General features: G+C 41.7%; 1 protein-coding gene and 1 long non-coding RNA gene across 2 annotated transcripts in view, besides 5 other annotated features; one reads left to right on the top strand and one right to left on the bottom strand.

Annotated features, from left to right (window-relative positions):
• Positions 1 to 10580: 10580 nt before the first annotated feature.
• Positions 10581 to 14831, bottom strand: LOC124903990 (uncharacterized). The gene is made up of 2 exons (XR_007065739.1): positions 14394 to 14831; positions 10581 to 10745 (listed from the first exon to the last, which is right to left on the bottom strand). It is a non-coding gene; the product is annotated as an uncharacterized LOC124903990 (long non-coding RNA).
• Positions 15253 to 15777: an enhancer, noted in NCBI's record as "H3K27ac hESC enhancer chr1:35497375-35497899 (GRCh37/hg19 assembly coordinates)". NCBI's record gives its function as "activates a minimal SCP1, AML or CMV promoter by ChIP-STARR-seq in primed H9 embryonic stem cells {active_cell/tissue: H9 hESC(primed)}" and the evidence as "EXISTENCE:reporter gene assay evidence [ECO:0000049][PMID:30033119]".
• Positions 15417 to 15596: an enhancer, noted in NCBI's record as "active region_721". NCBI's record gives its function as "activates an Ori minimal core promoter by ATAC-STARR-seq in GM12878 lymphoblastoid cells {active_cell/tissue: GM12878}" and the evidence as "EXISTENCE:reporter gene assay evidence [ECO:0000049][PMID:35858748]".
• ZMYM6 (zinc finger MYM-type containing 6) overlaps positions 15606 to 22760 on the top strand; it is a 45781-nt gene continuing 38626 nt past the window's right edge. The window contains exons 1-2 of the mRNA NM_007167.4: positions 15606 to 15736; positions 16838 to 17004. Coding sequence (NP_009098.3) covers positions 16912 to 17004 — 93 coding nt within the window. The 5' untranslated portion in view covers positions 15606 to 15736; positions 16838 to 16911. The remainder of the gene's footprint in view (positions 15737 to 16837; positions 17005 to 22760) is intronic.
• Positions 15767 to 15886: a silencer, noted in NCBI's record as "silent region_635". NCBI's record gives its function as "represses an Ori minimal core promoter by ATAC-STARR-seq in GM12878 lymphoblastoid cells {active_cell/tissue: GM12878}" and the evidence as "EXISTENCE:reporter gene assay evidence [ECO:0000049][PMID:35858748]".
• Positions 15767 to 16304: a biological region, named in NCBI's record as "H3K27ac hESC enhancer GRCh37_chr1:35496848-35497374".
• Positions 15778 to 16304: an enhancer, noted in NCBI's record as "H3K27ac hESC enhancer chr1:35496848-35497374 (GRCh37/hg19 assembly coordinates)". NCBI's record gives its function as "activates a minimal SCP1, AML or CMV promoter by ChIP-STARR-seq in primed H9 embryonic stem cells {active_cell/tissue: H9 hESC(primed)}" and the evidence as "EXISTENCE:reporter gene assay evidence [ECO:0000049][PMID:30033119]".

Here is a 22760-nt window from a genome sequence, read left to right as displayed (position 1 = left end):
AAAAATGAAAGAGACCTCACTTCTGAGGCCTGTGGAGCAACAGCTGGAGGTGAGGGTGAGAATCGAGGCCAGAGTGGGTCCAGTCAGAGGATGCAGGGCCAGTGTGTGCAGGTGTGTGCAGAGCTGAGGAGCTGGGTCAGCTCTGGCCATGGGTGGGAGACCTATGATCAAGGCTGAGGGAGAGTGAGAGAGTGAGAATATTTCTATGGTCTCTGGGAAGCAGCAGTTTCTGGATTAGAGCCTGAACCAGTTCTGGCCCCACAGAATTAGGGCATAACCAGAGTGTTTGTGGGTGGGGGCAGTGATTGAGTATTGTTCTCTCTGCTGGAGAGAGGGGGAGCCCAAGGCAGTCAGATGGTAGCTACTGAGGTGTAGCAAGAGAGTTTTTCTCAGGTCTGGGACCAGCATGTGGTCAAGGCCAAACCAGGGCTTCAGTCCACGTAATTCCATGGATGCATTTGTCCTCATTCTGGGTTGAGGAAGGGACTTGCATCAAATCTCTGAAGGTTGAAATAAACCTACAGCGGAGGCATGCTGAAATATTGGCTGAACACTATCCTGTGTGGGCTCACGTTCCTGGGATAGTTCATATTCACTGTCTGACTCTTCTCCAGATGCCTCTGGGTACAGCCCTTGCATTGACTTGTTTTTCTGCCCTGAACCCAGAAGCTTGGTGTTGGAGTTGGTTTTGGCACGATACAAAGCTGGGCCCTTTTACCTCTATTTGCAGGTTCTTGCTTGGTCTTGCTATGGGTCATGTGACTTCGTGTTGGCACCATTGTTCCCCCAATTTTCCCCTAAGTCCACCCCCTCATCTGGTTGCCAGAAGACTATTTATCCTCCCAATTTAAAATTTATCATTACCAGCCTGGAAAAGATTGTGAGTCCTTATCACTACAAAAATTTTTTTTAAAAATTAGCTGGTCATGGTAGGGTGTCCCTATAGTTCCAGCTGCTCAGGAGGCTGGGGGTGGGAGGATTGCTTGAGCCCAGGAGCTCAAGGCTTCAGTGAGCTATGACTGCACCACGGCACTCCAGCCTGGGTGACAGAGCAAGACCCTGTCTCAAATAAATAAAATAAAATAAAATAAAATAAGGCACTCACAGAAGGATTCCAAAGTTCATTTCCTCAGAAGTAGGCCTTCTGGAGGGCTAGTAATGTCCTATATCTTGGTCTGGTTAATGGTTAAAATACTATATTTGCTTTGTAATAATTCATGGAGCTGGTCAGGTATGGTGGCTCACACCTGTAATCCCAGCACTTTGGGAGACTGAGGCAGATGGATCGCTTGAGCTCAGGAGTTCAAGACCAGCCTGAGCAACATAGTGAGACCCTGTCTCTATAAAAATACAAAAATTAGCTAAGCATGGTAGTGCATGCTTGTAGTCCCAGCTACTCAGGAGGCGGAGGCAGGAGGATCACTTGAGCCCAGGAGGCAGAGGTTGCAGTGAGCTGAGATTGTGCCACTGCATTCCAGCCTGGGTGACAGAGTCAGACCTTGTCTCAATAATAACAGTAATAATAATAATAATAACAAAATTCATGGAGTTTTACACTTATAATTTGTACTTTTTTTATGTTTATGGATCTGCCATACCAACAACCTGTGAACTTCTATGTATGTAAAAGAGAAATAAATTTCCATCTTGTTTAAGCCACATATGCAGACCAAGGTAGTGCTCCCAAATCACCAGAAAAGGGGTGATGTAAAGTGCATATTAACAAAAACCTCATGCCTGTAATGCCAGCACTTTGGGAGGCCAAGGCAGGTGGATCACCTGAGGTCGGGAGTTCAAGACCAGCCTGACCAACATAGAGAAACCCCGTCTCTACTAAAAATACAAAATTAACTGGGCATGGTAGCGCATGCCTGTAATCCCAGCTACTTGGGAGGTTGAGGCAGGATAATCACTTGAACCTGGGAAGCGGAGGTTGCAGTGAGCTGAGATCACGCCATTGCACTCCAGCCTGGGCAACAAGAGTGAAATTCCATCTCAAAAAACAAAAACAAAAACAAAACAAAACCTTTTCCTTGATTCTTACCATCATAAACAGAAACTTCATGAGAAAGTAGGAAAAGTTTAAACTTAAATTTACGGGTCCACAGTCTCTTACTTAACAATCTTGAAATTTGAAAGGCTCTAAAAATGAAAGTTTTTCATAATTCAGTTGGTGGCATAATATAACTACACCTGAACTCTTTTAGCAGCAAAGCCTGACCAGAACTGATGTGAGGCTATGTTTAGTTTTATTTACTCTATTTAGGAGAAAAAATCACTAAGTTTTGCTGAAAAAATAATATATTGGGTTATGAAATGTTTTTAAAATGTTGCTGGAGGCCAAGTGCCATGGCTCACGCCTGTAATCCCAACACTTAGGGAAGCCAAGGCAGGCGGATCATTTGAGGTCAGGAGTTCAAGACCAGCCTGACCAATATGGTGAAACCCCGTCTCTGCTAAAAATACAAAACTTAGCTGAGCGTGGTGGCATGTGCCTGTAGTCCCGCTACTTGGGAGGCTGAGGGAGGAGAATCGCTTCAACCCGGGAGGTGGAGGTTGCAGTAAGCCAAGATCGTGCCACTGCACTTCAGCCTGGGCCACAGAGCGAGACTACATCTCAAAAAAAAAAAAAAAAAAAGAGTTGCTGGAAAGTGATAGGCAGCTCTCCAGTTACTGAGCATAGTGCAGGGTGGGTGAGTAGTAACTGGGGAAAATCCTAACTGAAACAAGGATAAAGAAAAAAGGCTTATATGATTCCAGGCATTAAAAAGAACATTTTACTTATAAAGGAAAGAGAATTAGACTAGCTTTGCATTTCTGTTCTACAGTACTGTGATAGAAACTAAAATCCAAGAATCTTATGCATAGCTATCATTCTTGGGCAAATTGATGACAGTTTTGTGAATACTGTACAAGATGTTAGGGAGATTGCTAGCCTTCCAGTAAAATTCAATCTTCTCCTTTCCTGTGGGATTATAATTGTAGCCTCAAACATGACATTCTATTTCCCAGCCCCCACTGTAGTTAGACGTGGCTACATGGACTAAGCTGTCTCTAATAGAATGTGATCAGAAGTGTTATGTGCCATTTCTGAGCCCAGTGACTTAAGACCAGTGTGTGCCCTCTTCACACTCTCAGGAAGATGTGCCTGTGACTCAGTTTCAATGATAAAGAAACAAGATGGGGGAATACTATGTCCATAAATGATTGTGTAGCAGCATAACTGCGAATGTCCTAAAACAATGCTCTGAAATGCAACATGAGAGAAAAATAAACTTCAATTTTGCTTGAGCTATTGCATTTTGGGGTTTCTTTGTTATAGAAATTTAGTCATTAACTAATAATCAGGGATTCAGGCAGTATATCATCCATAACTTTATCTGAGAAAAGTAATTGAAAGAGTACTCTAACTAGTTTTCAAGGTAGGAGAAAATAAAAAGAAAGAGTAATAATAAATCTGTAATCTATACAGTGAAATCTAAATACAACATAACATTGCAACTGGGAATTTTTCATAGAAGGACAAAGAAAACATTCTTGAAACTGAACACGCATACTGAGAGGAAATTGTTAATAACATCAGACTAAAAGCTGCAAACTATTTTAGTGTGTCAGTTGTCTGTTGTTATATAGCAAAGTACCCCAAAACTTTGTGACTTAAGATGATAATTTGTTATTTCTCACGATTCGGTGATTGGCTGGGCTCAACCTGGGAGTTCTGTTCCACTTCATGTTGACTGGGGTTATTTCTGTGGCTACATTCTTCTAGGATCTTGGCTGGAACATCCAGAATGGCTTCACTCATGAGCCTGGGACATTGGCAGGGAGGTTCTGGGACTTTTTTTTCCCTCTCTCTCCATGCGGTCTCTCCAGCAGGTTGGCCAGACCTATTTATGTGGTGGCAGAAGTTGCCAATCCTCTTAAAACCTACACTTGTAACTGTCACAGGGTCACTTCCCTTGCAATTGATTGGTCAAGGTAAGTCACAGTCCAGCCCAGATTCAAGTGGTGGGAAACTAATTCCACTTTCTTTTCTCTTTTTTTTTTTTGAGACAGGGTCTCACTCTGTTGCCTAGGATGGAGTGTAGCAGTGTGATCTCGGTTCACTGCAAACTCCACCTCCTGGGGCTCAAGCAATCCTCCCACCTCAGCCTCCCAGCCTCCTGAGTAGCTGGGACCACAGGCATGTACTACCAGGCCCGGCTAATTTTTGAGGTATCTTGCCCAGGCTGGTCTTGAACTCCTGGGTTCAGGCAATCCACCTGCCTCGGCCTCCCAAAGTGCTAGGATTACAGGTGTGAGCTGCCAGGCCTGGCCTTCCCACCTCTTTTAAAAATTATTTTTATTTTTAATTTTTGTGGGTACATAGCAAGTATATATACTTATGAGATACATGAGATGTTTTGAGACAGGCATGCAATGTGTAGTAATCATATCATGGAAAATGGAGTATCTATTGCCTCAAGCATTTATCCTTTGTGTTACAAACAATGCAATTATACTTTTAGTTATTGTAAAATGTACAATTATTATTGACTATAGTCACCCTGTTGTGTTACCAAATGTTAGGTCTTATTCATTCTTTCTAATTATTTTTTTGGTACCCATTAACAATCCCTACTTTCCCACCACCCAACTATCCTTCCCATCCTCTGGTAACCATTACTCTCTATCTCCAAGAAGTCAATTGTTTTGATTTTTAGATCTCACAAATAAGTGAGAACATCTTATGTTTGTCTTTCAGTGCCTGGCTTATTTCATTTAACATAATAACCTCCATTCCATCCATGTTGTTGCAAATGACAGGATCTCGTTCTTTTTTTATGACTGAATAGTACTCCATTGTGTATAAATATCACATTTTCTTTATCCATTCATCTGTTGATGGGTGCTTAGGTTGCTTCCAAATCTCGGCTGTTGTAAACAGTGCTGCAACAAACATGGGAGTGCAGATATCTCTTCAATATACTGATCTCCTTTCTTTTGGGTATAAACCCAGCAGTGGGATTGCTAGATCATATGGTGGCTCTAGTTGCAGTTTTTTGATGGACCTCCAAACTGTTCTCCACCGTGGTTGTATTAATTTACATTCCCACCAATAGCGTATGAGGGATCCCTTTTCTCCACATTTTCGCCAGCATTTGTTATTGCCTGTCTTTTGGATAAAAGCCATTTTAACTGGGGTGAGATGATATCTCATTGTAGTTTTTATTTGCATTTCTCTGATGATCAATGATGTTAATCTTTTCGCCTTTTCATGTCCACCTTTTCATCATGACTGCCATTTGTATGCCTTCTTTTGAGAAATGTCTATTCAAATCTTTTGACTTCTTTTTTGTTGTTTTTGAGATAAAGTATGGTTCCGTTGCCCAAGCTGGAGGGCAGTGGCACGACCTTAGCCCACTGCAACCTCTGACTCCTGGGCTCAAGCCATCCTCTCACCTCAGCCTCCCAAGTATATGGGACCACAGGTAAGCACCACCACACCTGGCTAATTTTTGTATTTTTTGTAGAGACAAGGTTTTGCCATGTTGCCCGTGCTGGTCTTGAACTCCTGGGCTCAAGTGATCTTCCTGCCCTGGCCTCTTAAAGTGCTGGGATTATGATTTGATTTCTGTATATGGCGAGAGAAGGGGGTCAAGTTTTAAGTTTCATTCTTCAGGGTTTGGATATCCAGTTTTCCCTGAACCATTTATTGAAGTGACTGTCTTTTCCCTAGTGTATGTTATCGGCCCCTTTGTGGAAAATGAGATCACTGTAGGTGTGTGGATTTGTTTCTGGTTGCTCTATTCTGTTGTATTGATTTATGTGTTTGTTTTTATGCCAATATCATGCTGTTTTGGTTACTATAGCTCTGTAGTATAATTTGAAGTCAGGTAATGTGATTCCTCCAGTTTTGTTCTTTTTGCTTAAGATAGCTTTGGCTATTCTGGGTCTTTTGTAGTTCTACGTAAAAAAAAAATTTTTTTTTTTAGGTTTGGAGTGCATCGTCTTACTGCAACCTCTGCCTCCTGGGCTCAAGTGGTTCTTGTGCCTCAGCCTCCAAGTAGCTGGGACTACAGGCAGGTACCACCATACCCAGCTAATTTTTTGTGTGTTTTTAGTAGAGACGAGGTTTCACCATGTTGGCCAGGCTGGTCTCGAATTCCTGACCTTAAGCAATCCTCCCATCTTTGCCTCCCAAAGTGCTGGGATTACAGGTGTGAGCCATTGTGCCTGGCCAGTTCTATATACATTTTAGGATTGTTTTTTCTATTTCTATGAAGAATATCATTGGCATTTTGATAGAAATTGCATTGAATCTGTAGCTTGCCTTGGGTAGTATGAACATTTTAACAATATTGAGTTTTCCAATTCATGAACGTGGAATAGCTTACCATTTTTTGATGTCCTCTTCAATTTCCTTCATCTGTATTTTATAGTTTTCATTACAGAGATCTTTCACTTCTTTGATTAATTCCTAGGTATTTAATTTTATTTGTTGTTACTGTAAGTGGGATTACTTTTTTAAATTTCTTTTTCAGATTATTCACTGCTGGCATATAGAAATCCTGCTGATTTTTGTATATTGATTTTGTATTCTACAACTTTACTGAATTTATCAATTTTTTTTTTTTTGAGATGGGGGCTCACTCTGTCACCCAGGGTGGAGTGCAGTGGCATGATCTTGGCTCACTGCAAGCTCCACCTCCCAGGCCCAAGCAATCCTCCTACTGTAGCCTCCCAAGTAGCTGGGACCACAGGTGCACACCAACACACCTGGCTAATTTTTTGTCTTTTTGGTAGAGATGGGGTTTCACCCTGTTGCCCAGGCTGTTCTTGAATTGCTGAGCTCAAGCAATCTGCCCACCTTGGCTTCCCAAAGTGCTGGGACTACAGGTGAGTCACCGTAGCTAGCAATTTATCACTTTTTTTTTTTTTTGAGACAGTCTTGCTTTGTTGCCCAGACTAGAGTGCAGAGTGGTGCGATCTCGGCTTACTGCAACCTCTGCCTCCTGTGTTCAAGTGATTCTCCTGCCTCAGCTTGCCGAGTAGCTGGGATTACAGGTGCGCGCCACAATGCCTAGCTAATTTTTGTATTTTTAGTAGAGATGGAGTTTTGCCATGTTGGCCAGGCTGGTGTCGAACTCCTGATCTCAGGTGATCCATCCGCGTTGGCCTCCCAAAGTGCTGGGATTACAGGTGTGAGCCACCATGCCCAGAGGAATTTATCATTTCCAATAATTTTTTGGTGGACTCTTTAGGTTTTTTCAAATATAAGGTCCTATCATCTGCAAGCAAAGATAATTGGACTTCTTCCTTTCCAATTTGGATACCCTTTTTATTTTTATTTTTATTTTTTTGAGACGGAGTCTCACTGTGTCACCCAGGCTGGAGTGCAGTGGCATGATCTTGGTTCACTGCAACCTCCACCTCCTGGGTTCAAGCAATTCTCCTGCCTCAGCCTCCGGAATAGCTGGGACTACAGGTGTGTGCCACCATGCCCAGCTAATTTTTGTATGTTTAGTAGAGACGGGGTTTCACCATGTTGGCCAGGCCGGCCTTGAACTCCTGACTGCAGGTGATCCACCCACCTCGGCCTCCCAAAGTGCTGGGATTACAGGCATGAGCCACTGTGCCCAGTGATACCCTTTATTTTTTTCTCTTGTCTGACTGCTCTAGCTAGGACTTCATTACTATGGTGAATAACAGTGGTGAAAATGGGCATCCTTGTCATGTTCCAGATCTTAGAGGAAGGTCTTTCAGTTTTTCCTCATTCAATATGATACTAGCTGTGGGTCTGTTGGATACAGCTTTCATTATGCTCAGGTATGTTCCTTCTATACTGTTTTTTAAGGGTTTTCATCTTGAAGGATGTTGAATTTTATCAAATGCTTTTTCAGCATCAATTGAAATGATTATATGGTTTTTGTCCTTCATTCTGTTGATATATCACAATGATTGATTTGCACATGTTGAACCATCCTTGGATCCCAGAGATAAATCCCACTTGGTCATAGTAAATGTTCTTTTTAATGTATTATTGAATTCTTTTTGCAAGTATTTTATTGAGGACTTTTGCATCAATATTCATCAGAGATATTGGCCTGTAGTTAATTCCACCTCTTGATGGGAGAAGCATCATGCACATCAAAGATGGGATTATTGACAGCATCTTTGGAAATAATCTTTTATTTCTTTCTTTTTTTCTGTCTCTTTCCTTCTTTCTTTTCTTTCTTCTCTCTTTCAGTGTCTCACTCTGTCACCCAGGCTGGAGTGCAATGGCACAATCATAGCTCACTGTAGCCTTGACTCACTGCAGCCTCAACCTCCTGGGCTCAAAGGATCCTCCTGCCTCCATTTGCTGAGTAGCTGGGACCACGGGCACACGCCACCATGCCCGGTTAAATTTTGTATTTTTTGTAGAGATGGGGATCTTACTATGTTGCCCAAGCTGGTCTGAAACTCCTGAGCTCAAGTGATCCTCCTGCCTCGGCCTCCCAAATTGCTGGGATTATAGGTGTTAAGCCACCACACCCAGCCCAGAAACAATCTTTCATAGTTCACCTTCTGGCCATAGCAATCCACATCCTTTCCCAATCAAAACACACTCATCCACTCCACCAAAAGTCTCAAACCATTATGGCCTTGGATCAAAGTCCAGCATTTCACTATCTAAATAAGGCCCATGAAGAAGAAGTTCCTGTGGTATAGTTTATTGGGTGTACAGGTACAACTTCTTCAACCCAGAGACCTGTGAACTAAATAGATGACTTACCTGCTCCCCTTATTCCTCACTCCCCACACCCACACACCAACACACTTGATAATATAGAGACATAATGACTCCACCGAATACTCCTATTCAAAAAAGGGAAGAATAGAAGGTACATTAATAGTTATTGATTCATAATAATTCTGAAATTTACCTGGGCACCTGTTCTCCTACTCTGAGGATAGGAATTGTTCTTTGATTTGTTTTATTGAATGGCTTTTTTTTTGAGACTGAGTCTCACTTTGTTGCCCAGGCTGGAGTGCAGTGGCATGATCTTGGCCACTGGGCTCAGGTGATCCTCCCACCTCAGTCTCCTGAGCAGCTGGGACTGTAGGCACGTGCCACCACGCCCAGCTAATTTTTGTATTTTTTTTGTAGAGACAGGGTCTCACCATGTTTCCCAGGCTGGTCTCGAACTCCTGGACTCATGTGATCTGCCCACCTTGGCCTCCCAAACTGCTAGGATTACTGGTGTGAGCCACTGCCCCTGGCAGGAATGGTTTCATGATCCATTTTATTTTCAGAAGCTTTTAATTCTGCCTTTTGCCCTCTGAGATGTTGGCTTTACACCCTGAGAAAGCATTTTCCATAAGAAACAGTCCATATTTGTAGTTGAGTAGCTTTTTCAGTTTCTTTCCACCCACAGAAAGTTGAGGGCCCAGGGATCCTTTTTGTTTCAAACTGTCTTTGCCCCTTACAATCTATAGTTTCACTTTTGCCAATATACTTCTCTTTAAAACTTTGCGGGTATTTTATGAATATTACTTGGATTCACACCATACCCCCCAAACCACATCCATACTTCTTTCTGAGACAGAAGTCTCTCTACTTTGGATGTGTCTGATTGCTGTAGTGCAATGCCCTTATGTTTCTCCGAAGTCCTTCTGTCTAGGTGAGATGGTCTACAAGGCACTGCCTAATTCCTTACGAAGTCTTACAGCTGCACTCTTGATTTGATCTGAGGCCTCATTTAACTTGCAATTTCCTAAATTTGATCTTTGCTCTGAAGCCATTTCTTATTTTGGTGATCTTTTGCTAAGTCCTTAGTCCTTTACTCACTAAGTCCTTTACATTTTGTCTCATTTCTGCTTGAAAATTGAATAATTTCTTCTTTGGCTTATTTCTCTTTTGCAATACAACATCCTACGTGGTTAAAAGAAATCAGCAAACGCTTTTAACATTCTGCATGGGAATCTCCTAAGGCAGATCCAGAAGGTCATTAAGTATGTCTCCTAGCTTCTAAGTTATCACAGATGACAGTGCTGCCAAACATTCTGCCAACGCATCACACTGGTTGTTCTCTCTCCAGGCTTTAATAAGTTTCCTCACTGCTCTTCTAACCTCCACTCAAAGCCTCCTTGCTGTCTTTCCAGGCTCTGCCTGCTGCCTGGTCCCAACATCAATGCCACATGTTTTATGTTTTAGTTATGGCAGTATCCCATTTCTAGATATCAGTTCTCTAACAGTTATCTACAAAGGGGTGTTTTGTTATATAACAACAGATGCTGTAATCATCTAGTAATCTGGAGGATATAAGATGGCTTCACTCATATGTATGGGGCCTTGGTGCTGGCCATGGGGTCACTCTCCATATGTGACTTCTCATCAGTCAGCAGTTATCCCATTTAACTTTGACATGGTGGTAGGAGTGTTCTATGACAGCGTAAGCAGAAGCCCCAAGGACAATAGAGGCCTATGCTTAGGAACTCATATGGTATCACTTCTATAACATTTTGTCAGTCAAAATAATTCACAAGCCCAGTCAAGAAACAACAGGTAGGAAAAAAGACTATGTATTAGTCAGGGTTTTCCAGAGAAACAGAACTAATAGGATACGAAGATTTATTATTATGAAGAATTGGCTCACATGATATGGAGGCGAAGAAGTCCCACAATCTGCTGTCTGCAAGCTGGAGACCCAGGGAAACCAGTGGTGTAATTCAATTTGAGTCTAAAGGTCTGAGAAGCAGGGGAGCTGATGGTATAAATCCTAGTACGAGGGCAGGAGAAGATAAGAGGGGATGTTTCAGCTCAGACAGTGAGGCAGGAAAAAAAAAAAAAGAGCGAGAGAGAGGGCAAATTCCTCCTTCCTCCACCTTTTGTTCTATTCTGGCCTGGCCTTCAGTGGATTGGATAATGCTTTTCTATATTGGGAGGACATTCTATTTTACTGAGCCTACAGATTCAAGTTGACACATGAAATTAACTATCACAGACTCCCTCTCTCTCTCTTTGTTTTTAAATCTGCCATCTGCACACTAAAGACTCCTCTTGATGGGAAAAGTTGTAACAACTTTATGGCCATATTTAACCTTCCACAGGTAACTACAAACATCTTAAAGTAAATATAATATTCAATAATTTTATGTTGAAAGCAACATAACAGGAAGATATAGATGCCCAATATCACCATTTCCATTCAACATATTACTACAGGTTTTAGCCACTGCAATAGGCAAGAAAAAGAAATAAGTTATATAATTGGAAAGAAATAAAATGGTCATTATTCTCTACATAGCTGGAAACAGAAAGTAAGAAAAATGGCTAGACTATTAGAATTAATTAGTTTAATTAATAATTCAGCAAGGGTGCTAGCTTCAAGACCAACATACAAAAATAATTGTATTTCTATATTTACACTGAAAACAATTAGAAAATAAAAATTTACATTTAAAATGACATGAAATATTAAATGCCTAGAATAAATCTAACAAAGAGGTGTGCAATATCTACACTTAAAAACTATAAAGCATCAAGATAAATTACAGACACCAAAATAAATGGAGGAATATATCATTTTTATGGATTGAAAGATTCAACCCCACAGAATGCTGTTATTAGTTTCCTAAGGCTGCTTTAATAAAGTACCACAAACTAGGTTTAAAAAAAACAAACAGAATTTATATCACCATTCTTGGGGCTAGAAGTCTAAAATTAAAGATCGGTAGGGTCATGCTTTCTCTGAAACCTATATGGGAGAATCTTTCCTTGCCTCTCTTAGCTTTTGGTGTTATCAACAATCCTTAGCATTCCTTGGCTTGCAACTGCAGTACTTCAATCTCTGTTTCCATCATCGCATGGGGTTCTCCTCCAATGTGTATGTCTTCATATCTTCTCCTCTCTTAAGGACACCAGTCATAATGGATGAAGCGCCCACCTTCCTTCAGTGTGGCCTCATCTTAACTAATTACATCTGCAACAATCCTATATGACTAAATAAGGTCCCATTCTAAGGGTTAGGACTTCAACATATCTTTTTAGGTGACACAATTCAACATAATGAATAACAAATACCAATTCTCCAAAACAGGCATACCACTTCAGTATAATACTAAACAAAATCCCAATGGATTCTAAAATTTGTAAGGAAAGTTTTGTCACAACTGACAAGCTGATTCAAAAATTTACATGAAGATGCAAAGGACCAAGGAAAGCCAAGATAATCTTGAAGGACATAATAGGAGGGAGGACTTTTTCTATCATATACTAAGATTTATTATAAAGCTATTACAGAAATTAAGACAGTATGGTATTTCCACAAGGAGAAACAAAAGGAACAGCCTTCATAGTCCTGAAATAAACCCACACATATATAGACAACTGATACATGACAAAGGTGTCAATGCAGAACAGTGGGGAAAAGGACAGTCTTTTTAAAAAATAGTGCTTAATCCATGCAAAATTCACATGGAAAGGTTGAAATCTGACTTACCTTACACTATACACATAACCCAACCACAGATGGATTATAAAACTAAATGTGAAAGACTAATAACACTTCTAGAAATTTTCTTCATTTGGTAGGAAAATATTTCTTAAGAGAATACAATAAGCACTAAGCACAAAGGGTTTTTTTGTTGTTGTTGTTTGTTTGTTTTTTGGATGGAGTCTTGCTCTGTCACCCAGGCTGGAGTGCAGTGGCATGACCTCAGCTCATTGCAACCTTCGCTTCCTGGTTCACGTGATTCTCCTGCTTCAGCCTCCCGAGCAGCTGGGACTATAAGTGCACACCACCATACCCGGCTAATTTTTTTTTTTTTTCCTGAGGCAGAGTCTTGCTCTGCCACCCAGGCTGCAGTGCAGTGGTGCGATCTTGGCTCACTGCAACCCCTGCCTCTGGGGTTCAAGTGATTCCCCTGCCTCAGCCTCCCTAGTAGCTAGGATTACAGGTGCCCACCATGCCCAGCTAATTTTTGTATTTTTAGTAGAGACAGGGTTTCCTCATGTTGGCCAGGCTGGTCTCAAACCCCTGGCCTCAAGAGTTCCGCCCGCCTCAGCCTCCCAAAGTGCTGCTATTATAGGCATGAGCCACTGTACCCGGCCACAAAGGTCTTTTAAGTTCATCAAAAGACACCAATAACAGAGTGAAAAGGCAAGCTACCGAGTGGGAGAAGATATTTGCAATATATACAGTAGTCCCTCCCTTATCCATGAGGATATGTTCGAAGATGTTCCACAGATGCCTGAAACCTCCAGTAGTATCAAACCCTATATATGCTATGTTTTTTCCTATACATACATACCTATGATAAAGTTTAATTTATAAATCAGGCACAGAAAGAGACTAACAACTAACAATAGAACAATTATAACAATAGACTTTAATGAAAGTTGTTTAAAACTTATGAATTATTTGTTACTGGAATTTTCCATTTAATATTTTCAGACCGTGGTTGAGTGTGGGTAACTACGACTTCAGAAAGCAAAACCGTGGATGAGGGGGGCTAGTGTATATTCAAAAAAGACTTATCTTAGTGTATTCCTGATTGCCAAAAGAAAATGCCACAGACTGTGTAATTTATAAATAGTAGAAATTTATTTCTCACAGTTCTGGAGGTTGGCAAGTCCAAGATCAAGGCACTGGCAGATTTGTTGTCTTGGAATTACTCTCTAATTCCAAGATGAAACTTTGTTGTTGTCCTCTTGCTGGGAGGAACATTGTTATCATACAGTGAGGGGTTAAAAGGGCAAAAGGAATGAATCTTTGTGAAGGGCATGAATGCCCTCTTTTGTAAGGGCATGAATCCCATTCATGAGGATGGAGTCCTCATAGCCTAACCCCTCCCAAAGGCTCCACTTCTTATACCATCGCCTTAATGTTTAAGTTCCAATATATGAATTTTGAAGGGACACATACATTCAAACCATAGCAGGATTCATATCTAAAATATATGCCCATAAGAAAATGTCAATCCAATACAAAAATGAGCAAGAGACTTGAACAGGCACTTATGGGGGATATCCAGATACCCAAGGAACAAGAAAATGGGCTCATCCTCATTAATAATCTGGGAAATGCAAATTAAAACCACAGTGAGATACCACTATGCCCCCATCAGAATGGTTATAATTAAAAAGATATGCAGCAGTAATTATTGGCAAGGATGTTGGGAAACTGAAACTCTCATACATGGCTGAAGGGAGTATAAACTGAAACCACCATTTTCTAAAATTGCCTGAGATTATCTACCTAAATTTTACATATACATAACAAGCAATTTCACTTTTAGGTATGAACCCAACAGAAATGTGTGCATATGTATCACTGTTAAATAAAACTTGTAGGCCATTGTTTCGGGCTAAGCTCCTGCAGTAGGTCTCAATGAACCAGACTAAAAATCAAAATGGAGTCACTCACACTGAGGTTCCATGTCATCAAATGGAAACTACGTTGTTATTTGAAGTTCTGAAAAGTCAGGAAAAAGAGATAATAAGAGTCTAATTTCCCCTGAGTGCCAGTTTCAATTAGCATAATAATGAAATTTCTTCTGCTTTAATCGTTACCAAAAAAAGATAAACTGAAGTTACCTGATGTTAACCAATCAGTTATTTCTCTATTGTTTTGTTTCTTGGTTCTGCTTTACAAGGAAATTAACTTATTTATTTATTTTTTGGAAAGTTACTTTGAAATGAACCAATCTGTTTTTTGTTCTTTACTTCTGCTTTCTCCAGCCCTTCTCTGTCTATAAAACCTACCTCTTCTGCTCAGCTCATTGGAACACTTGTTCTATTTTATGGAATGAAGTGCTGCCAGATTCTAGAATCACAAATAAAGCTAATTGAGATATTTAAATTAAATTTGTTGTAATTTTGTCTTTTAACATCACCAATGACAAGAATGTTCACAGAAGCATTATTCCTAATAGCCACAAATTGGAAACAACTCAAATGTCCATCAGTAGTAGATGATTAAAATTGTATCATATTCATAAAATAGAATACTATACAGCAGTCAAAATGAATGAACAGTCACAAATCATACACGTATCTGTGAAACAATGTTGAATTAAAAAAACCAAATCTCAATTTTGAGCAAGTTTTTTCATTTATATCTCAAGAGATTAAAAAATTATACCTCTTAGGGTTAAATGGTGAGGATTAAGTGGGATGGTGCATGTGAAGTGCTCAGCAAGCCAAGTATTATTTAATATCATGCTCTCTCAGTAGGCCACCTTTCAGGAAATGGGCACTAAAGGATGCTACAGATTAGCTAGGTGTGGTGGCACGTGCCTGTAAGCCCAGCTACTCGGGAGGCTGAGGCAGGAGAATCGCTTCAACCCAGGAGGCGGAGGTTGCAGTTAGCCGAGATTGTGCCACTGCACCCCAGCCTGGGCAACACAGTGATACTCTGTCTCCAAAAAAAAAAAAAAAAAAAAAAAAAAAAAAAAAAAAAAAAAAGAATGCTATAGAGCACTTACAGCGCCTTCTAACGCCATCTCCACCTTTTCACTATTGAGCCTCGGTCTCTTTAAGAAGTGAACCATAATTGAGGAAAGAGGAATGCTGGGAAGTTCTACTCAGCTCAGGTCCGGAGCCTGACGGGAAAAGAGGGCGGAGACCAAGGCTGCGCAGGCGTGGTTGGCCGGTCGTTGCGTTGGGATGGATCAGGCGGAATTCCAGAAGAGAAAATAATCCCTGTCTAGATGCAGAGGACTTGGTTCCTATTCCAGTGCTCCTCCGGTAGCAGGGAGGCGACAGAAGGTGGGTGCGGCCGCAGTGGTAGTGGGCGGGACGGCGGGGCGGAGGCCACACCACGTGACGAGGCGTTGCGGCGGGGGCGGTGCCAGGTGGGCTACGCGGCTGGGGCGGCTGCGGATATCGCCTTAGGGACGCGTTGACATTCACTGGCTAGTCCACCGCTCTCAGTCGGAGACCACATTGCCTCGTTAGTCCTCAATGATGGGAGTGGGAATTCTTGGTGGGAAGGAGAATTTCGGAAAGCGTGCGGTTCTCAGAGGAGGGATGAGCGCCCGTAGATATTTTGTGGCGAGTGCGCAAAAGTTCTCATTTCTTCTTTGGAACAGGCTTTTCAACCAGTTGTCCGTTTCCATCCCGGACTATTCGGATAAAGACAACTTTGAAGAGCTTTTTGTTTTAGGTTTAATTCGTCCCGTTTAGTTCTTTGACTTTTAGGGGAAGGGAATTTACTGAATGGCCAATTGAGTTTCTTTTCTACAGGAAGGCGATTGTGAAGCGGGGCTCTGAGGGGCTTGATGCCCCCCACCCCTCACACGGAGACCTTGAAAGAGGCAGGTGACTCACTTTCAGTAAGGGCGTTCCTGTTGTTCGCCTGCGATGGATGGCATCTTGAGCTCACATCTAGCGTTAGGCCGAGAAATGGGGCCCTTAGGGAGGCTTCCAGTGAAGGTTGAGTTATAGGTCAGGGCCGGGAGGTTGTTGTGCCCCTCTTTGAGAAATAAAAGCCGACGTGGGCCTCTAAGTACTGATTCTTATGGGGTCAGAAACTATTTCTTGAGTCCGTTCTTCTCAGAGTTTATTACTTCCTCCCACGTCTTGGTCTGCTGGTCTAATTCCCTTCAATAACCTTCAACATAGGAAAAAACCAGAGTGTGTTGTGTGTCTTTAAAGATATTAGAGAAGTGGGAGCTGTTGCCCCAAAACTGTTTTCTTATGTAGCTACTGAAGGAACAGAAAGCAGGAAGAAAGAAAAAAGTTAGTTGTGGCCCCAGAAGAGTTGTTTTTCAAATGCCGAGCCGTGAAGCCTCATGCACTCAACACAAAGTTTTTCTTTCATATAGATAAGCCTGAAGAAAAAAGAATAAGCCTGAGTATGTATTTTAGGTGTCCAACTATCCATTACCAAGAAGAAATCTATTCGTTTGAGCCTGAGACACTCTTTGAGGTAAAAAATTAGAATGAAAGAACCTTTGGATGGTGAATGTGGCAAAGCAGTGGTACCACAGCAGGAGCTTCTGGACAAAATTAAAGAAGAACCAGACAATGCTCAAGTAAGCATTTCATCTTCATTTAAAAATTTAAAAAAATTCCTTCTTTTCCATCTGGTCAACTGAAAAATTTTAGTTAAACGGCTTCTGGTTTGTAAGTTTAAAATAACCCAAACTGAGACAGGCTCTCGCTGTCGCTGAGGGTGTAGTGCAGTGGTGCGATCTCCTTAGCTCACTGCAGCCTCCACCTCCCAGGCTCAAGTGATCTTCCCACCTCAGCCTCCTGTGTAGCTGGGACCACAGGGCACACACCAACATGCTCAACTATTTTTTTGTATTTTTGGTAGAGACGGGGTTTGGCCATGTTTCCCAGGCTGGTCTCAAACTCCTGAGCTCAAGCAATCCACCCACCTTGGCCTCCCAAAGTTCTGGGATTACAGGCATGAGCCACCATTCCTGGCTGGTTTTTTGCTCTTTGAATGAAAGCTATAACTACATGATTTTTTTGTGTGTGGAAGGAAAGTAATATATTTACCATTTTTCCATACTTGTCACTTAAAAAAAATTCTCTTGTATCTGGTAGTACTTTCCTTTATTCTGTTAAGAATTTGTGGTCTGTGCTAGTCTCTGGGGATCCAGGATTGAGCAAAGTCAGCTTAGTCCCTTCCCTTGTAGAGCTTATATGTTAGTAGAGGAGGCAGAGATTACAAAAGTATTGGTCAAGTAATATATATAATTACAAACTATGACAAGTACTCTGGAAGAAAAGCCTAAAATGGGGAATCTGACCTAGTTTTGGTTGTGGTCTGCCTGGGGATGGCTAGGGAAGGCCTCTCTAAGGGAAGGATGTGTAAGCTGAATTATGAAGAATGAATTGATTAGGCAAAGGGTATGGAGAAGAGTATTACAGACAGAGGGAACTGTGAATAGGAAAGCCCTGAGTTGGAAAGATGCATGGTTCTTTTTAAGACCTGCAGGAACAGTGAGCCTGGAACAGAAAAGGTATGAAAATGGTGATGATGATAATGATTAAAACAACAACAATAAAAATAGCTGGCATTAGTATATCAGTATGTAGTATATATTATATCATAATCATATGTGACATTATTAACTTAATATTTATATATGCTTAAGAGTGTGTCAGGCACCATTCTTACCACCATATTATTATCCCCATTTTACAGATGAGGAAACCAAAGCTCAAAAAAGCCAAATAGTTTACCACAGATCACAGTTAGTAGTAAATGACAAAGACTGGATTCAAATCCAGGTGGTCAGACTCCAGAACTTGTGCTATTCTGCTTCTCTATGATAAGGCTGTATATATAGTTTAAGGCTGGATTATGTAGGACGTAGCAGACCTTGTTATAAATTTTGGTTTTTATCCTAAGAGCAGTAGATAGCCATTATAGGGTTTTTTGTTTTTGTTTTGAGATGGAGTTTTGCTGCAATGTTGTAATCTTGGTGGCTCACTGCAACTTTCACATCCCGGGTTCAAGTGATTCTCCTGCCTCAGCCTCCCCAGTAGCTGGGATTATAGGCGCCTGCCACCACGCCTGGCTAATTTTTTGTATTTTTAGTAGAGACGGGGTTTCACCATGTTGGCTAGGCTGGTTTCAAACTCCTGACCTCAGGTGATCCACCCACCTCAGCCTCCCAAAGTGCTAGGATTACAGGCGTGAGCCACCACACCTGGCCAATTGTAGGGTTTTAAGTGAGAAAGTAAGATGAAACAGATTTGTGTTTGGAAAGATCATTCTGGCTACCCCATAGGGACCCAGAATGGAGAGCACGGAAATCAATGTGGAGGCTGGGCACAGTGGCTCACGTCTGTAATCCTAGCACTTTGGGAGGCCAAGGCAGGCAGATCACGAGGTCAGGAGATCGAGACCATCCTGGCTAACACGGTGAAACCCCGTCTCTACAAAAAATACAAAAAATTAGCTGGGCGTGGTGGTGGGCGCCTGTAGTCCCAGCTACTTGGGAGGCTGAGGCAGGAGAATGGCGTGAACCCAGGAGGCGGAGCTTGCAGTGAGCCAAGATTGCGCCACTGCACTCTAGCCTGGGTGACAGAGTGAGACTCCGTCTCAAAAAAAAATAAAATAAAATCAATGGGAGAGATGAGTTAGTTGTTTTGGCAAGGAATTTTTCTTCTGGGACAGTTCTTTCGCTTTACACTCAAAGTTATTGACTTTATTGTATCAGCAAAGCAATTATATTTTAAAATAATAAAAAACAATTTTATTTTTCACACCATCTCACAGGCAGTATCATTCCTTTTTTTTTTTTGAGATGGAGTCTTGCTCTGTCACTCCCAGGCTGGAGTGCAGTGGCGCGATCTTGGCTCACTGCAACCTCCGCCTCCCAGGTTCAAGCGATTCTCCTGCCTCAGCCTCCTGAGTAGCTGGGATTACAGGTGTGCGCCACCACGCCTGGCTAATTTTTTATATTTTTGTTAGAGACTGGGTTTCGCCATGTTGGCCAGATTGGTCTCAAAACTCCTGACCTCAAGTGCTCTGCCCACCTCGGCTTCTCAAAGTGCTGGGATTATGGTTGTAAGCCACCATGCCCAGCCACAGGCAGTATCATAAGAAGACAGGGATGTCAGGTAGGTTTTGTTTCACTCATGAACTCTATGCCTTGCTAGAGTGCTGGGCTAAGAAGAGTTCTGAGGTAGTGTCTGTTAGATGTGGAGTGGGGGATGGTGGCATCCATGCTACTTGTTTTCCCTCCAGATGGTAAATTCTTACTCTTTCTCTGCCTAAAGTAACCATTTCTTTGCCAGGTTTTGTGGTTTTTAGCTTTTAAATATTTTTTGTATCTGACCCATGATGTTCTTCTATATTTCATTATTTCTCTCTCTCTTTTTTTTGTTTCCTTTTTTTGAGACAGGGTCTCACTTTGTTGCCCATACTGGAGTGCAGTGGTGTGAGTATGGCCACTGCACTCTAAACGATCCTCCCATCTCAGCCTCCCAGGTAGCTGACCACAAACATGCTCCACCACACCCAGCTAGTTTTTGTAGAGACGGGGTCTCCTTATGTTGCCCAGGCTGGTCCTGAACTCCTGACCTCAAGCAATCCTCCTGCCTTGGCCTCCCAAAGTGCTGGGATTACAGGCATGAGCCATCATGCCTGAACTATTTCATTATTTTTCATTTGGACTTTTATAATAGTTTCCTACCTATTCTCCTTCCTTCAGTCACATATCCCATCAAAACACTCTACAGTGATGCCATTGTACTGTATAGATCGAGTGATATTTCTCCCTTTAAAGACCCTGTTTCCTCCAGTGTGATGAAGCAAAGATCTTTCAATGTGACATCCAAACCATCCATGTTTAGGCCTTTGTTTCCCTCTCCAGTGTCATCATTCATTGTTTCCACCTTTTCAAATCTATGCTGCTGCCAGCTATTTGCAGTTCACTCAAAACTATCTTCTAAAACTCGGTTGCATTTTATTTCCCTGCCTTTGCACCTGCCATTTCTTGTGCCGGTGGAAGAAGAAATAAGCTAGGTAGGCTGGCAAAATTTTGTCCTCTTTTAAGATGAAGTTTCTCACTCACAAGTAGAATGAGCTGTTCTCTCTCTCTTTTTTTTAATTGTATAGTGCAATCACTTTTATTATGGTATCTACAGGTCAATGAATTTTGTCTTCATACTGATTATACTAATCTGGCCATCTCCTCCTCATCTTTCATTGACACACTAGACTGCAGTCTCTCTGAAGTCAGAAATTGGTCTTATTGACCTGAATCTCCAATTCCTAGCACAGGATTTGGCACAAAGTACATGTTCAATAATTGGAATAAAAGAGCCTCTTTCACATATAAGGAAGCTGAACCTGAAGGAATAAGTGACTTCACCAGTGTCTCATGGTAAAACTGGGATACAACAGTTTGTTGTTACTCCAGATGCAATATTTCTTTCATTATACCTTGCCTATACACTTAACAAATAATGTGCTTTAAGTTAATTCAATGTTCTTTCTGAATATAAAAATTGTGATAATGGAAATCTCCCTAGCAGCTTAGATTGTATATTTAAGAGGGTAGGAACTGCTCAGTTGTCTTTGGTTTATATTAATGTTTTCAGGTGAATAGGCTATATTTTTTCATGATTGAGGGTATAGACTATGATTGAAAAGCCAATTGAACAAATTGTGTATTATTTTCTATGTTGCATTGATGAATCTCCTTTGAATATTGGAAAATAAGAGATAAATAAAAATGTTTTTTATTTTCTGATTTTCTAAGAGTTTGTTCTGGATATTAAAATTATAGTTGAAGGCCAGGCGCGGTGGCTTGTGCCTGTAACCCCAGCAGTTTGGGAGGCTGAGGTGGGCAGATCCCTTGAGGTCAGGAGTTCAAGACCACCCTGGCCAACCTGGTGAAACCCTGTCTCTACTAAAAATACAACAATTAGCCGGGCGCGGTGGTGGGCGCCTGTCATCCCAGCTACTCAGGAGGCTGAGGCATGAGAATCACTTGAACCTGGGAGGCGGAGGTTGCAGTGAACTGAGATTGCGCCACTGCACTCCAATCTGGACGACAAAGGGAGACTCCATCTAAAAAAAAAAAGTTGCAGTTTAGTCCTTATATTCATATATGTTGAGTATTCATATTCATTCAGTGAGTTTTTATTCCTGCCTGCTGTAATCCATAATACTTGAACATTGTTGTGAGCAGTTTACATACCTTAATCCATTCGATGCTCACAACCCTCAGTTAAGTACTGTTTCTCTTCCCACTTTACCCATGAGGAAGCTGAGTCCTAGATAGTAACCCGTTAAAAGTCACATAATTAATAAATGGTTGAGTCAGGATTTGGACTCCAGCAGTCTGATTCAAGAGCCCAAACCCTTAACCAGGATGGTAAACTGTATTAGTTACTTTGTTTTCAGAAAGGCTACAGAGATGAAAAGATAGGACTTCTGCTCTCAAGGTAATTGATAGTGTAATGGAGAGAAAAGTTATGAGAATGAGAGAAGTAATATTTGTTGAGTGACTGTGCCTTGTGAGAAGCTATGCTAAGCATATCTTATGCATTCTCATTTAAACCTAATTGTCTTCAAACTTGTATGCTTTCTGCTGCTTTGTGCCACCTTTTTTTTTTCTTTCTTTTTTTTTTTTTTTTTTTTTTGGGATGGAGTCTTGCTTTGTAGCCCAGGCTGAAGTGCAGTGGCGCCATCTCGGTTCACTGCAACCTCCACCTCCTGGGTTCACGCAGTTCTCCTGCCTCAGCCTGCCGAGTAGCTGGGATTACAGGTGCCCACCACCACACCTGGCTAATTTTTGTATTTTTAATAGAGACGGGGTTTCACCATGTTGGCCGGCTGGTCTCGAACTCTACCTGCCTCGGCCTCCCAAAGTGCTGGGGTTACAGGCGTGAGCCACCGTGCCTGGCCTGTGCCACCTTTTGTGCAAATACAAAATCAAGGCCATGAGTGGTGGCTCATACCTGTAATCCCAGCACTTTGGGAGGCCGAGGTAGGTGGCTCACTTGAGGTCAGGAGTTCAAGACCAGCCTGGCCAACACGGTGAAACCACAACTCTACTAAAAATACAAAAAAATTAGCCAGGCTTCGTGGCACATGCCTGTGATCTCAGCTACTGGGGAGGCTGAGGCAGGAGAATCACTTGAACCCAGGAGGCGGAGGCTGCAGTGAACAGAGATTGCTCCACTGCACTCCAGCCTGGGCAACAGAGCAATATTCCATCTGAAAAAAAAAAAATACAAAATCACAGTCTTAGGTAAGTGCTTTAAAATTGTGTGAGGTGCATTGGGAGCATAGGGGAAGGAGCCCTAAATCTATATG

The sequence above is a fragment of the Homo sapiens genome, chromosome 1 (genome assembly GCF_000001405.40).
Source record: "Homo sapiens chromosome 1, GRCh38.p14 Primary Assembly".
NCBI classification, from domain to species: domain Eukaryota; kingdom Metazoa; phylum Chordata; class Mammalia; order Primates; family Hominidae; genus Homo; species Homo sapiens.
The sequence above is the reverse complement of the archived record's forward strand: the minus strand, read 5'-3'. Positions and strand labels throughout refer to the sequence as shown.